At 46.3% G+C, this 16,041-nt stretch overlaps 1 protein-coding gene and 1 long non-coding RNA gene across 3 annotated transcripts; one reads left to right on the plus strand and one right to left on the minus strand.

Annotated features, from left to right (window-relative positions):
- Positions 1 to 390: 390 nt before the first annotated feature.
- Positions 391 to 4,022, minus strand: GJD4-AS1 (GJD4 antisense RNA 1). 2 transcript variants are annotated; one of them, NR_199599.1, is made up of 2 exons: positions 3,565 to 4,022; positions 391 to 1,794 (listed from the first exon to the last, which is right to left on the minus strand). It is a non-coding gene; the product is annotated as a GJD4 antisense RNA 1 (long non-coding RNA). The 2 variants fall into 2 exon arrangements; NR_199600.1 differs by having other exon boundaries at positions 3,355 to 4,022.
- GJD4 (gap junction protein delta 4) lies at positions 1,170 to 4,764 on the plus strand. Its single transcript, NM_153368.3, has 2 exons — positions 1,170 to 1,460; positions 3,407 to 4,764. The coding sequence occupies exons 1-2, from the start codon at positions 1,397 to 1,399 to the stop codon at positions 4,453 to 4,455; spliced, it is 1,113 nt and encodes a 370-aa protein (NP_699199.2). The 5' UTR covers positions 1,170 to 1,396; the 3' UTR covers positions 4,456 to 4,764.
- The last annotated feature ends 11,277 nt before the right edge of the window (positions 4,765 to 16,041 follow it).

The following is a 16,041-nucleotide window of genomic DNA, read 5'->3' on the forward strand; positions in this document are numbered from 1 at the left end:
TTAACTACAATTTCTCAAATTTCCTTGCTCATGTCGAAGCATTTGACTAAAATATAGCAAAACCACTGTTCCTTTCAAGGGGGTCAAAACGTTTTCCGTGGATGGGAGCATGTCATGTGAGCAAAGATGAAAGTAGCTTTGTTGCACTCTTCTGGGAATCTTTCTAGGGATATTACTAAAGTCAAGAATAGATCAGAAATGAAGAAAAGATGGGGATATAAAGAATAGCTTTCATGGAAAATTGAAATCATTCCTTTTAAAGTTTACAATTTCCACCCTGATCATAGATCCCCAACCCTGCAGGATGGGTTCTTCCCAGATATGAAGGTGGCTGCAGCGATAGGATTTTGACGCAACTGTGATTGATGTCAGCAGGTCCAGACCGTGATATTTCATGACAGATTTAACAGACATTTATTAAGTAGATTCAATGGGAACAGCTCCAGGCTAGATGGGGCTGGGAGATACAAAGGGAAGATGTAATCTGTGAAGGTCGTAGAGGCCAATTAGGGATTGAAATCCCACGGATATGGGTTGTCGTACACCCACTTCACACCAGTTGCTCTTATTCTACACCATCATTTCACATAAGCCTCCCACAAATGGCAAGTGGAATGGCATGATTCTCCTTATTGCAAGATGAGGCTATCTGGAAGGATCCAATGACTTCCCCAGTGAGTAGGGGGCTGCCCCGGGCTTTGCACCCAGGCTTTTGTCTCCAAGCGAAGAGTTGTCACTCACTGCACAGGAAGCAGCAGGAGAATAACCAAGTCACGGTCTAAAGTTGGGACACCCAACTGAGTTTCAGATTTCTGCCTGCACCAATGACACAGGAATTCAGAATAAGGGCGAGATCCTTGTGGGTTCGTGTGATGGTGGCATGGCGATTCATGCTTGATTGAGAAGACAAAACGTGAACACTTTAAGGGCTTCTTGCACAAGTGAAGTGGTTGTGGAAATGTTTTCAAGGAGGAAATGCCTTTTTAATAGAGAAATTTACTTGGCTAGTTAGCAGAAGTTTTCTTTCTTGGGTTAAAAGTAGTTGCTGCTATTATATCCTGAAGCATCTGGCTGTCCTGGTGGGGACATATGAGCGCTGCCACAGGCCGGGAATATCCCAGGCGAGTAAGAATAGCCCACAATAAGAGATGACTGCTGCTTGCTCTGCTGGTCACTGCAGTTGTCAGGAATGTTTCGCCTCAGAGGCAAACGGCTTAGGGCCGTCTCAACTTGGAGACAGAAAAACCCACCTCCTACTCCTGGCTCAGACCTTTGCTTTCTTATCTCCAGCTCACACCTTTAAGTCTTATGTAGTTAAAGGACATTTATCCGCCTCCTTGGAGAACACAGCCCTCCAGTGTCTCCTGCAGCCTGGAGCCTGGGACATTCTGGAAGCATGGAAGGCGTGGACTTGCTAGGGTTTCTCATCATCACATTAAACTGCAACGTGACCATGGTGGGTGAGTATTGGGACCATCTCCAAACTCCTGCGCTGTTTTTATTTCCACTGCCATGGTGGAATTGAGTCCTTAAAGGGTCCAGGTATTTACTCATTTTCAGTGTGCAAGCACCAAGCTGAAAGTCCACCCACTCCCAAAAGAAAGGGCTGTGCCTTTCTGGAGGGAAGAGAGCTGAGGCTTCTAGTTTCTTTGAATGGTTCCGCGGTTCCTCCGTCATGTAAGGGAGTCTTGCGTTTGACATTGTTCTCTCACAGATCATCCTGTGCTGACACTGGGGTGCTGACTCCAAAGACCAAAGCAGGTGGAGGGGTGTTTGTGTGCAACCCTGGTGTGGCTACGTTACCAGGAAAAGGAACAGAACAACAAATGTTAATCAGAAGGTGATACCTTTAGGTTTTATTCTGGAAGCTTGGTTTTTTTTTTTTGTTTTTGGAGACAGAGTCTCACTCTGTTGCCCAGGCTGGAGTGCAGTGATGCAATCTCAGCTCACTGCAACCTCTGCCTCCCGGGTTCAAGTGATTCTCCTGCCTCAGCCTCCCGAGTAGCTGGGACTACAGGCGCCTGCCACCACGCCCAGCTAATTTTCTGTGTTTTTAGTAGAGACGGGGTTTCACCGTGTTAGCCAGGATGGTCTCGATCTCCTGACCTCGTGAGCCACCCGCCTTGGCTTCCCAAAGTGCTGGGATTACAGGCGTGAGTTACCACGCCTGGCCTGGAAGCTTAATTTTTAAGGAGTAGCCATTTCTCTTGTGCACTTTAAACCAAATCCCAAGTTTAGTTATTTTTTTTAACAAAGAAAATAATAGATTTTTGTTTAATGCAGACGACTCACATTTTCAGAGAGGTATGGGGGTCAGAAAAGGATGAATATATGCCGGAGATGCAGTTGATACTTTTCTGGCTCATTATTTTGTAGATTTAGACAAAACCAACTTGATGTTAAAAGTTCAACTCAATGACTCATCACATAATGATATTATTCTTTGTTTGACTGTCTTTACATATTTATTTTTGTTTTGTTTTTATGATGTCAGGCGATGTTTCTCTCATCACAAAACACAATATTCACAAGTTATTTTGGCTGAGTTTTAAACATGTTTCGAAACAGTTGGCCGGTGCCATGAAAATAGGGCTTGACAGTTATTTTGGTTTTCTAGCTTGGTGTCATTCCTTCACGATACATTGAAGAAAGACAAGCCCCATTCATTCCTAATAACTGGAAAAGGGGAAGAGGAATTCTGAATGATTAAAAAATCTGAAAAATGGAATGTTCATAAAGAAATTCAATTTCAAGGGCCGTAGACTAACATTAAATACAAGCCCTGTGATTAAATAGAGATCCCTGGACTGTTGTCATAAGTAAGATTTACTGAAATCAGCAGCTCGAATTGGCAGTTACAGAAATACACCAACCTCTTTTAAAAGGCTTATTCTCCTAAGAAGAAAATTTAAATCTTATTTAAATCATTAATTTGCTCAGCCAAACTTTCTTTCTGGACCTATCAGTCCAGGAGACATTACCAAAAGTCTGAATTAGCAGACAGATTAAAACACTTTTAATATAATGCTTTTTAAAAATCTACTCATCTTGAAGCATCTTACAAACAAGGATGTTCAGTGCTCAGTAAATATTTGTCAAATGAACTACCTGATGCTGTGAGTAAAGACAAGCTGACAGGTGTGGTGGCTCATGCCTGTAATCCCAGCTACTCAAGAGGCCAAGGCGGCAGGAGCACTTGAGGCCAGGAGTTCAAGACCAGCCTGGGCAATATAGCACGACCCTGTGTCCAACAACAACAACAACGACAACACAAACAAACAGAAAACTAAAGACATGCTTATTGACGTTTCAATTTCCCAATCTCAGCCCCAATAGACACTTTAAAGCTGTTACTCAGGGCAGTGTATTCGGGGTGATGAGGCCATGCCCGCTTCCTCTCTTCCAGGAAAGCTCTGGTTCGTCCTCACGATGCTGCTGCGGATGCTGGTGATTGTCTTGGCGGGGCGACCCGTCTACCAGGACGAGCAGGAGAGGTTTGTCTGCAACACGCTGCAGCCGGGATGCGCCAATGTTTGCTACGACGTCTTCTCCCCCGTGTCTCACCTGCGGTTCTGGCTGATCCAGGGCGTGTGCGTCCTCCTCCCCTCCGCCGTCTTCAGCGTCTATGTCCTGCACCGAGGAGCCACGCTCGCCGCGCTGGGCCCCCGCCGCTGCCCCGACCCCCGGGAGCCGGCCTCCGGGCAGAGACGCTGCCCGCGGCCATTCGGGGAGCGCGGCGGCCTCCAGGTGCCCGACTTTTCGGCCGGCTACATCATCCACCTCCTCCTCCGGACCCTGCTGGAGGCAGCCTTCGGGGCCTTGCACTACTTTCTCTTTGGATTCCTGGCCCCGAAGAAGTTCCCTTGCACGCGCCCTCCGTGCACGGGCGTGGTGGACTGCTACGTGTCGCGGCCCACAGAGAAGTCCCTGCTGATGCTGTTCCTCTGGGCGGTCAGCGCGCTGTCTTTTCTGCTGGGCCTCGCCGACCTGGTCTGCAGCCTGCGGCGGCGGATGCGCAGGAGGCCGGGACCCCCCACAAGCCCCTCCATCCGGAAGCAGAGCGGAGCCTCAGGCCACGCGGAGGGACGCCGGACTGACGAGGAGGGTGGGCGGGAGGAAGAGGGGGCACCGGCGCCCCCGGGTGCACGCGCCGGAGGGGAGGGGGCTGGCAGCCCCAGGCGTACATCCAGGGTGTCAGGGCACACGAAGATTCCGGATGAGGATGAGAGTGAGGTGACATCCTCCGCCAGCGAAAAGCTGGGCAGACAGCCCCGGGGCAGGCCCCACCGAGAGGCCGCCCAGGACCCCAGGGGCTCAGGATCCGAGGAGCAGCCCTCAGCAGCCCCCAGCCGCCTGGCCGCGCCCCCTTCCTGCAGCAGCCTGCAGCCCCCTGACCCGCCTGCCAGCTCCAGTGGTGCTCCCCACCTGAGAGCCAGGAAGTCTGAGTGGGTGTGAAAAAAACAGCACCTGGCGGTGCCCCGGGGCTCACGCCTGTAATCCCAACACTTTGGGAGGCCCAGGCAGGAGGATCGTTTGAGAATATATCTCCTTGCCCAAGAGTTTGAGACCAGCCTGGACAACATAATGAGACCCTCGTCTCTACAAAATATCTAAAAATTAGCTGGGCACAGTGGCTCCCTCCTGTAGTCCCAGCTACTTGGGAGGCTGAGATGGGAGGACCATTTGAGCCTGGGAGATCGAGGCTGCAGTGAGCCAAGATCACGGCACTGCGCTGCAGCCTGGGCAACACAGTGAGACCCTGTCAAAAAAAAAAAAAAAAAAAAAAAGCACCAAGCAGAGCTGAGAGAGCCCGGCTGTCCTTTGCACACGGGAATGCCTGTGCTGATGCATACTCACTTTGGCACCTGTAAAATCTCATCACTCAACGAAGGTCCTCAGGCAGAAGGGCGAGCTGGCCTGGGGACACACGGACATTACAGGAGATATATTCTCAGTACGGATTTAATTTAGATAACACATTTTATTTAAAAAAAAAACAAAACACATGACGTTCAAATGCCCCAACAAAACTAAAGTGATGAACTGGAGTCAGCTTTCTGATGATGGTGAGATGGTTCTGTCGGCCACACTCTCCCGGTTCTATTATCAAATTCTTTGCCATATGTTTCATGTAAGGCATGTTTTCTTCCATTAGTATAGTTTATTAATGTTTAATATTTTCTAGTGAATTATCATGAGGTTTTTTTTGTTTTTCTGCTTTGGATGAAAGAAACATCTGTTATGCATGTCAAAAATAGAGAGACATTAAACTTCTCCAAACCCCTTAATAAAATTGTATTAGTTCATTTCATACCGCTATGAAGAAATACCCGATACTGGGTAATTTATAAAGAAAAAGAAGTTTTCTTTTTTTTTTTTTGAGTCAGAGTCTCACTCTGTCGCCCAGGCTGGAGTGCAGTGGCGTGATATCTGCTCACTGCAAGCTCCGCCCCCTGGGTTCAGGCCATTCTCCTGTCTCAGCCTCCCAAGTAGCTGGGACTACAGGCGCCCGCCACCACACCTGGCTAATTTTTTGTGTATTTAGTAGAGACGGGATTTCACTGTGTTAGCCAAGATGGTCTCGATCTCCTGACCTTGTGATCCACCCGCCTTGGCCTCCCAAAGTGCTGGGATTACAGGTATGAGCCACCGCACCTGGCAGAAAAAGAAGTTTAATGGACTCACAGTTCTACATGGCTGGGGAGGCCTCACAATCATGGCGGAAGGTGAAGGAGGAGCAAAGTCACATCTTACATGGCAGGCAAGAGAGCATGTGCAGGGGAACTCCCCTTTATAAAACGGTCAGATCTTGTGAGACTTACTATCACGAGAATTGCATGGGAAAACCTTCCCCATGATTCAATTACCTCCTACAAGGTCCTTCCCACAACACGCAGGGATGATGGGAGCTACAAATCAAGATGAGATTTGGGTGGGGACACAGCCAAACCATATCAAAAATTAATGCTGATTGCATTATAATATCACGCTTCATACATCATTGTGTTAGAGCAGAAATGACAAATGCAGAAAATATGGCTAATAAACAGTTGGTTTCCAGGGGCATCTGATACTGTTCCCGTGTATGGGTGTAAAGTGCACAGGATGTAGGATGAGTTGTCCCTGTGTGTGTATGCTGGGTGGCTGTCCTCACCGCATAGAGGGAGTGCTTTTGCTGTAGAGGAGTGACCATAGATTTGTCACAAGTTTTTTAATTCAGGCTTTGTCTGTGCCCTTTAGAGAGTCATACAATTCAGACTTCCCTGAGAATCTTCATGTTCCAGTGGGGAAGATGAAAAAAACTGTGGGTATTGTGGAATGCACAGTCTGTGTTTATGACTTTTTGTGTAGCAACAGACAAATGCCGCAGGTCTTGGGCTGGGCTTCCGATCCAGGCCTTTCTGCACTGCTTAGTGTCATTCTGGCTTTGATCTAGGTGCTGCCCAAGTTCAGGTGTGACCTTCAAGTTTAGTGCTGGCCGAAATCAGGCAGGTAGGAGGATACAGTAGAGCAGAGGTTTGCTATGGGACAGGATTAACCTGCTCACCCTAATCAAGAGAGGAAAGAGGCATCTGGGTGTAGCTCAGAAATAGATGACTATTCCCTGGTTTCCATGTATGGAAGGGCTGGGGAGAGGCACCACCCTTCACTCCAGCATTTTATTTTCCATAAAAATAAATGTTAAGAACAGAAGAGCTGTCATAAAAGAGTCAGGGACCACGTGGAAAGTGGAGGCAGGTGGTCCGAGGACGAGTCCTCAACTTCATACTCTACTGAGTGATGGCTGAGAGCTGAGTGGACAGACCTGGGGGCCACAGAAGACATCTGATGGGACCCCGTCCCATGAGGAGCAAGGTGTCAGAAGAGGCATGGCCTATCCTAGAACTTGGCTGGTCATGCTCACGTGACCGTGACTATGCTGTGGAATGTGCTAATGCAGGTGTCCTTATTTCTCTTCTCTTTGCTGTCACACTGGGCACTGAAGATCTCTCCTAGTTTTGTAACTTAGGTTGTAAAGCCTTAAAGATTTTTTTCCAGTCCATGGCCAGGTGTGGTGGCTCACGCCTGTAATCCCAACACTTTGGCAGGCCAGGTGGGCGGATCACTTGAGGTCAGGGTTTTGAGACTAGCCTGGCCAACATGGTGAAAACCTGTCTTTATTAAAAAAACAAAAATTAGCTGGGCATGGTGACGGATGCCTGTAATTCCAGCTACTCAGAAGGATGAGGCAGGAAAATTGCTTGAACCCGAAAGGCAGAGGTTGCAGTGAGCTGAGATTGCACCACTGCACTCCAGTCTGGGCCACAAAGCGAGACTCCATCTCAAAAAAAAAAAAAAAAAAAGAGCTTTTCCAGTCCTTTAAAGGGAGAGGGGAAAAAAAATCTTAGACTATATTCAAAAGGCTAAAAACAGTAGAAAATCATGTGGCTTCCATCTTCCTTTTCCAGACTTCAATCCGTGTCTTTGCATGTTGACACCGAATGACTGAAAAATGGCTCGCATGTCTGCATCCCTTCCACAGACAGTTAAGGAGGATCCTATGGCTTAGGGCAGAGACTGTGCAAGTTAATGTAATTGCAGCTGCAATAACCGGCAAACCCCAATTTTAGCCACTTAATGCAGAAGAAGCCTCAATGAGTACAAAGTGTCTATTCCTGGTGTGAGCAGCTATGCTCCAGGTGGTGACTCAGGGACCCCTCCATCCTGTGGCACCAACATCTTCTGCTCATGTTACTGATTTCTTGCGGGGAGGACAATAGGGGCTCCCTAGGCCTGGCCTCGAGATGGCGCTGGCCACGTTCTCTAAGTAGAACTCAGTCCCAGCTGCAAGGGAAGCTATGAAAGGTGGCTTAGCTACATGCGCAGAAAGAAGGAGGAAAAGTTGGGGTGAACAGGTAGCCAGTGTTTGCCTAAGGCAGCAATTATTATCTGGGCACCTGCCCTGTAAGAGGCATTTAATAAATCCTAGTGACCAACAAACTGGTCTCTAGGGAAAGCTGAGCAGGGCCATTGGCTCAGGTCCTCAGATGGTGGTGGAGAGAAGAGAAAGGAGGTGACAAGGACAAAGACAACTGACTGAATTAGGCACAGAACCCAAATCTCATATTGAGGGAGTGTCCTCTTAATTACAATCATTTTAAATAAAAAGGGATCTTAATTGGTTTAAGTGTGTGCACGTTGGGGTTTTAGTTGAGCTCTTTGGTCTTTGCACAGCACAAAAATCTCATGAGATAATTGGCGTCTAACTTTCTGGGGAGTTTAATTTAGAAATCTCTTCCCAGGGCAATCTGTAGGTGGATTCTAATGGCAATTCAAGCTCTGGCTTGACACGTGCAGCTGGCTACCTGCAGAGACAAAATGAAAGATTATGAAGATCAGTGAGATTATGCTTATAAAGCAGTTTGTGCTTAGCCGAGAACAGCATTTATAGAATTAACAGATGTGACTCTGTTTTGGTAGGATATTGCAATCCGCTGAGGGAACCTATTTTGAATTTTCTGAGTGTAATTTTGGTTTCAGGTAAGAAGTGCTGAGGAGGGGGTTGCTTTACAGATGAGGAGAGGGGACATTGGATTTCTCAGGCACAAATTTGCTAAAGATCCTCTGCAATGTACACACCTCCCACTGTGGACCCCAACACTCCAGCTCTAGGAGTGGGGCCAGCAACAGAATCTAGTAAATCTCACCAGCTGTATTTTGGCTGTGCTGTGGGATAAATGTTTCCTAGGGACAAAACAGATAGCTTTCTCCCTGCATTCGAAATGCATGCTTTGATCTGTTTGCTCCCTCAGAGCAAACAGAGCTTTGATCTGTTTGTCCATCAGAGAGCAAACCTCTTTCTCGGGGAAATTTCTAGTTGAGCTCCATCTCTGTGACCTGAGAGGGGCAGATGGGAGGGGCACACAGCAGAGCCAAAAGAAGGGACTACATGTTCTGATAAACTGAACCTGGTTGGAAGGTGTTTCATGGAGAATCCAGGAAATTAAAAGTCAATGGAAAAACTAGATTTTGGTTTTGGAGTTTCCTCCCTCCCCAGGTGGGTGAAACAGAGAAGTGCATGACACCTTTAAAAGATCAGGTGATTATAAAGAGTACGCCCAACTGGCATGACCCTGCACCTAGAAGTTAATTTTTTGGTTCTTTTCCTTTCCTGTTTTTTTTTCTATGGAGCTAAAAAAAAAAAAAAATCAACCTGCCAGGCTCAGTGGCTCATGCCTATAATCCCATCACTTAGGGAGACCGAGGTGGGAGGATTGCTTGAGCCCAGGAGATCAAGACCAGCCTGGGCAACACAGCAAAACAACAAAACAAAACAAAACAAAACTTGGCCATGCTTGGTGGCACGCACCTGTGGTCTCCGCTACTTACGAGGCTAAGGTAGAGGGATCACTGTAGCTTAGTTTGAGGCTGCAGTGAGCTACAATCGTGCCACCACACTCCAGCCTGGGTGACAGAACAAGACCCTGTCTTAAAAAAGAAAAAAATAATCGACTTATCACATAAGCATCAGCAACCTGTGGTGGGAAGAGTTTAAGCAAAAGGTCATTGTTTCGGTTCTGCCTGATTCCCCCAACTCCTGTGAACCTTAATCTTCTCAGTGCTGAGATGGGCAGATCACAGCTACCTTACTTCATGGGCTTGCTGGGAAGTTCAGATGAGATGGTGGACGTGGAAGCCCCTGAGAGGGACATAGCCATGTGTCATCGTAGGTGCTTCCTAGGCTGCAAAATCACCAATGCTTGGACAGATCACTGCAAATGCTTCTCTTTGGGAATGTGTGATGTACAACGCTTGCTTGGGGGAGAAGGATGTCCACAGACTTAGGACATTGCAACGTCCTTCCTGCACTCTCTCTTACCAGCAGAGGCCTCTCTTGGACCATATTTAAGGTGCAATATTTGTAAGCTCCAAAATAAAATGTTAATTAATTCTGGTGGTACCTCTTGACCGTGTTCATGAGCTCATTCTTTTCATTCTTCTTTCTTATTTCTCTCTGGCCAGAAAAAGCAGGATCTAAGAATTCTCAGCAATGGATCTGGGTATTCTAGTAGGTGACTTTGAATAGCAGAATGGGTGAGAAAGTTGGGGATAATGGAGAAATTGTGGGCAAGCTGGCTTCCTGGGAAGGGACTAATTGAACAAGACAATGATTTATCTTTTCGGGGTTCAGAGGCAGCTTGTTAATTCGAATTATTTTCTTTATTTTTGCCCACAAGTGTTTGGTTGTCCTTTTCTCTGGCTTTTTACCTGATCAGGCTGCAAGCTGCAAAGGTGTGGCTTGTGCTGCAGATTTGTAATAAAAGATGACAGGTGAGAGAGACAGTGGTGGAACTGGTAGAGCTTGCACACCCACACGGTGTGGCTGCTCGGGAGGCTGTCTAGTGCACCTGCCAACAGAGCACAGATATCCTCTCTTCCTCATTTCAGATTCCTCCTTCCAGCTGTTTACTAAACAGCAACAAAAACACCCTCTTGGCTGTAACTTGTCAAATAAAGTCCCTGCAAAGTGTATAAGATTTTCCTCCCCTCGGTTTATGAAATGATGTGTTATTTTACATTTGAGAAACTTCCCCCCTTTTCTTGTTGCTTTAGAAAGTTAAAGTGCTTTTGGCTGGGCATGGTGGCTCACGACTGTAATCCCAGCACTATAGGAGGCTGAGGCGGTCGGATCACCTGAGGTCAGGAGCTCGAGAGCAGCCTGGCCAGCATGGTGAAGGACTCTGTCTCTACTAAAAATATTAGCCGGGCATGGTGCTGGGTACCTGTAATCTCAGCTACCTGGGAGGCTGAGGCCCGAGAATCTCTTGAACCCAGGAGGTGGGGGTTGCAGTGAGCTGAGATGGTACCACTGCCCTCAAGCCTGGGCGACAGAGTGTGACTCTGTCTCAAAAAAAAAAAAAAAGTTAACGTGCTTTTGATCTCAGAAATGATATTTGTGAAGCAATTAAATGTCTATCAACTGGTCTTCCTTACCTGGGATATTTGATATGGAAAAAAAACCTCAGGTGTTATTAAAGTTTAAACTAAGCATATCTAGTGCTATTTCCTTCAGAAATGAAAATTCAGTAATTTTATAGATGTAGTTTGTGGGATTGGTCATTTTAAGGAAAAATTTTAAAAGTCTTATGCTAAAGCAAGTTCATCAAATTTTGTTGTGTGGCCAAAATGCTTCTTTAGAGAGAAGTTAATAGAGTGGTTAAGACATGCATTCAATGGGGCTGAGTGCAGTGGCTCACACCTGTAATCCCAACACTTTGGGAGGCTGAAGCGGGAGGATTGCTTGAGGTCATGAGTTCAGGATCAGTCTGGGCAACATAGCAAGACCCTGTCTCTACAAAAATTACTACAAAAAGCAGCTGGTCAAGATGATGCACACCTGTGTTCCCAGCTACTTGGGAGGCTGATGAGGGAGGATCACCTGAGCCCAGGGAGGTCGAGGCTGCAGTGAGCTGTGGTCACGCCACTGCACTCCAGCCTGGAGTGCCCTCCAGAGTACAGAGTGATACCCTGTCTCCAGAAAAAAAAAAAAAAAGACATCACTCAATGGGGCCAGGGTGTGGGGCTCACATCTGTCATCCCACCACTTTGGGACTTTGGAAAGCTGAAGTTTGAGGTTTGACTGAGGCCAGGAGGTCAGGACCAGCCTGGGCAACATAGCAAGACCCTGTCTCTACAAAAAGTAAAAAACAATAAGTCCTAGCTACACGGGAGGCTGAGGTGGGAGGATTACTTAAGCCCAGGAGTTTGAGGCTGCAGTGAGCTATGATTGTGCCACTGCACTCCAGCCTGGGTGACAGAGTGAGACCCTGTCTCTGAAAAAAAAAAGACTTGTACTCAATGGACTAGGAAATATTTTCATTGTCTCATTAGCTAAGGACTCTGCAAACATGAGCTTTTCTTTGTGTACCTTTATTTCTTATCTATGAAACAAAAATGTCATCTCTTCTACTTGGAAATATGAAATGATATTTCCTGTCGGAATGTGGATTAAGGGGTTTTTACCCCTTTGGAAGTAAGATAAGTGTAAACATTGAGGATGACTCATTCTGCACATTTGTTGAGCATCTTTGATGTAGGTGATGCTTGTGCAAGGCATGGGATGAGGGGCAAGAGAGTGATAAGGAAAGACTATACATACATTTAAGGATCTCTTTCCAAGAAATAAATGGGAACTATATGAAGGCAGCATATGATACAAAATTAAATTTCATGTCTCAGACTTGAATATTGAAACTTTTATATTTTTGTAAGTCAGCCAACATTGAGTCAGACAGCAAAGCTTCTTGCATCAAGTAAAGGAATGGGGGCGCTGCCTGCATCACTCCGCTGGGGCATGGGAGAAGCTGGGATTTGGTGTTATCCTCCTATACCCTCCTGTGACCCCGACTCCCTTTGGCGCCCCTCCCTCAGGCACTGCCCCCTCACTGCCTGTCTAACCATGGCTCCTCACCCAGACTGTGCCCCTCAAGAACCTCCTGAGCCCGAGTCCCATCATAGCGTCCTCAACTTGCCAGGGAAATTGGTGACTTGACTCTAGCTCATTTCACACCTGAAAAATGAAGGTGCAGGAAGGCGATGTAACTCGTCTAAAACAATCTGGTCAATTGGTGGCTAAATCTTCTCATTCTGAGCAGGTTTTGGCTCTAGAATTCCATTGCTCCAGGTTGCTTTCTTGAAGGTCATCGGGTAGAAGGGATTACTGCTCACAACAGCTTAATGTATAAGCTTTCTAGGAGCATCAGCAAATTAACAGAGGGCTCAGGGGCCCAATAGAATGCATCTCTGTTTTTTTATTTTTCAGAGACAGGGTCTTGCTCTGTCGCCCAGGCTGGAATACAATGGTGTGATCATAGCTCACTGCAGCCACAAACTCCTGGGCTGAAGTGAGCCTACCGCCTTAGCCTCCTGAGTAGCTAGGACTACAGGCCTAGCTAATCTTTTTATTTTAAAACATTTTTTGTAAAGATGAGTTCTCACTGTGTTGCCCAGGCTGGTCTCAAACTCCTGGTCTCAAGCAATTATCCTGCCTCAGCCTCCCAAAGTGTTGGGATTACAGGTGTGAGCCACCACACCCAGCCCAGAATGCATTTTTAATAGTGTCATTTGAGGCAATATGAAGGGTCTGCAGGTGACCTATAGAATAAGAATAGAATTGGTTTTTGATGACAGATTACAGTGGCAATCATTTCTTGAAGTTAGACAATTATGATAGAAATATAAAAACACAGAAGTTTAGAAATAATGCCCCATCCTCCCTAAATAACATATCAACCTGTTTATATTCTTAGCCTCTTAGGTTTTAAAATTTATAGTTGTATTTGTATTATGTCCATTCTGTGTTTTTCACTTGCTAATACATCATACACATTTTCCATGGTTCTCCAGTCTTCATAACTTACCACTTCGAATGGTGGCAGGAGTCTATGAAGCGATGGCTGTCTGATCATCTGCCCCAGCCTCTGTTGAACAAAATACTGCTAGCCTTTTGATGTTACAAAATAACACAGCATGGGTACACAGGATTTTCCTTCACATTTTGGATTATTTCCTTTAAATAGTTTTCTAGAAATTTTTAATTTTTAAAATTTAGGAACAGTGTTTCTCTCTGCTGTCCAGGCTGAGTGCAGTGGTGTGATCAAAGCTCGCTGCAGCCTCAAATTCCTAGGCACATATGATCCTCCTGCCTCAGCCTCCCAAGTAGCTGGGACTACAGACACGCGCCACCATCCCCAACTAATATAAAAAGAAATGTTTTTGTAGAGATGGGGTCTTACTGTGTTGCCCAGGCTGGTCTTGACTTCCTGGGCTGAAGGGAGCCTCCTGCCTCAGCCTCCCAAAATGCTGAGATTATAGGTGTGAGCCACTGCTTCCAGCCTAAAAATTAAGTTCACATACATTCTCAATGGATTATTAAGCTATTAATAGTGTCAACCACATGCAGATTACTATTTGTGAAGCTGCCATAATTTCACAGGTTGATCTTGTGATGCTAAACCAGCGGGGTGTAGTGGCTTGTGCCTGTAATCTCAGCTACTCAGAAAGCTCAGGTAGAAGGACTGCTGGAAGCCAGGAGTTTGAGACCAATCTGGGCAACATAGTGAGACCCCATCTCTCAAAAAAAAAAAAAAGAAAGAAAGAAAAGGCCAGGCGTGGTGGCTCATGCCTGTAATCCCAGCACTTTGGGAGGCTGAGGTGGGTGGATCATGAGGTCAGGAGATTGAGACCATCCTGGCTAACACAGTGAAACCCCGTCTCTACTAAAAATACAAAAAAAAAAAAATTAGCCGGGCATGGTGGCGGGCGCCTATAGTCCCAGCTACTCGGGAGGCTGAGTCAGGAGAATGGTGTGAACCTGGGAGGCGGAGCTTGTGGTGAGCCGAGATCGTGCCACTGCACTCCAGCCTGGGCAACAGAGCGAGACTCTGTCTCAAAAAACAACAACAACAATAAGAACAACAACAACAAAAACCAAAAACCACTAAACTTGAAGATGCTGTTTCTCTCTGGCGCTTTGTCTTGAACTTCAGGAACCTCCCTCTAGGTAGCCAGGGTACCTGAGCTCTCCCTAGTGAGCCTCAGTGACGTTTTCCACAAGCGTGTTTAACAGTCATAGATGAAGCATGTTAATTACATGTTAGTAATTAACCAGTTATTAAAGTAGTTATGCTCACATGCTTGAGAATTTAAGTTCAATAAGCTTCACAAATTGAGCCAACTTTTAAAGGTGCTTGATCAGCTATGTGCAGCTTTTACGTTGTGATTTTTAAAACTTAATTTTCCTCCATAAATGAGGAAATTACCTTTCTGGAATACATTTCAGTCCAGATTAAACACAGAAACCCAAATGTACCATTCCAGCCTGTGGCTCCCCACTGCTTTGATGAAGAGATGGTCTTCCCATATTCCCCCGGCCCCCTGCCGGATCTGCTCTATTTCAGCTTCGAGGTACTCAGGCCCATCCTCGCCTGGGGAGGAGGGAGGCAGATATCCAGGGAATATGCAAGGCTTTGTGACTGGCTGGATCAGGGGATGGGGGGCAGGAATGAGGAAGAGGGAGGAGAGCCTGGGTTAATTTTTTTGGTCCCCGATGAACTTTGCCTGTATTAGTCCATTTGTATTGCTATAAAGGAACACCTGAAGCTGGGTAATTTATAAGGAAAAGAGGTTTATTTGGCTCATGATTCTGCAAGCTGTATAGGAAGCATGGTGCCAGCATATGATATGGTTTGGCTGTGTCCCCACCCAAATCTCATTAGCTCCCATAATCCCCACATATCATGGCAGGGACCTAGTAGAGGTAATTGAATTATCAGGGTGGGTCTTTCCCATGCTGTTCTTGTTATATGAATAAGTCTGATGAGATCTGATGGTTTAATAAAGGGCAGTTCCCCTGTACACGCTGTCTTGTCTGCCACCATGTAAGATGTGCCTTTGCTTTTCCTTTGCCTTCCACCATGATTGTGAGGCCTCCCCAGCCATGTGCAACAGTGAGTCCATTAAACCTCTATTTCTTTATAAATTACCCAGTCTGGGCTATGTCTTTATTAACAGTGAGAGAACAGACTAATATAGTCATATTCACCCAAGTAGAACACCCTGGAGGAGGAGATGGATTGCTGATAGTTTCTGTTGTTTTTTTTTATTTTTACAATTTATTTTATTACCATTATTTTTTAGAGACAGGGTCTTGCTCTGTCACCCAGGCTGAGTGCAGTGGTATGACCATAACTCACTGCAGCCTTGAACTCCTGGGGACACGTGATCCTCCCACTTCAGCCTCCTGAGTAGCTGAGACTATGGGCATGCACCACCATATCCAGCTAGTTTTTAATTTTTTTTTTTTTTTTAGAGATGGGGTCTTGCTATGTTGCCCAGGCTGGTCTTGAATTCCTGGGCTCGAGTAATCCTCCTGCCTTGGCCTCCTAAAGTGCTGGAATTACAGGCATGAGCCACCACGCCCGGTCAGTTTCTGGTGTAGAAATGTCAAGGTGAAGTTGCCTTTGGGGTATTTTGGAGGAGATGCTGAGTAGGAAGTTGGAC

Source organism: Homo sapiens, chromosome 10, assembly GCF_000001405.40.
Source record: "Homo sapiens chromosome 10, GRCh38.p14 Primary Assembly".
Lineage (NCBI taxonomy): Eukaryota > Metazoa > Chordata > Mammalia > Primates > Hominidae > Homo > Homo sapiens.

Bases quoted from the DNA above. Each gene is read 5' to 3' on its own strand.
- GJD4 (NM_153368.3), top strand. From the start codon at position 1,397: ATGGAAGGCGTGGACTTGCTAGGGTTTCTCATCATCACATTAAACTGC. The intron at 1,461-3,406 runs GTGAGTATTGGG...CCTCTCTTCCAG, and splicing joins CTGCAACGTGACCATGGTGG to GAAAGCTCTGGTTCGTCCTC.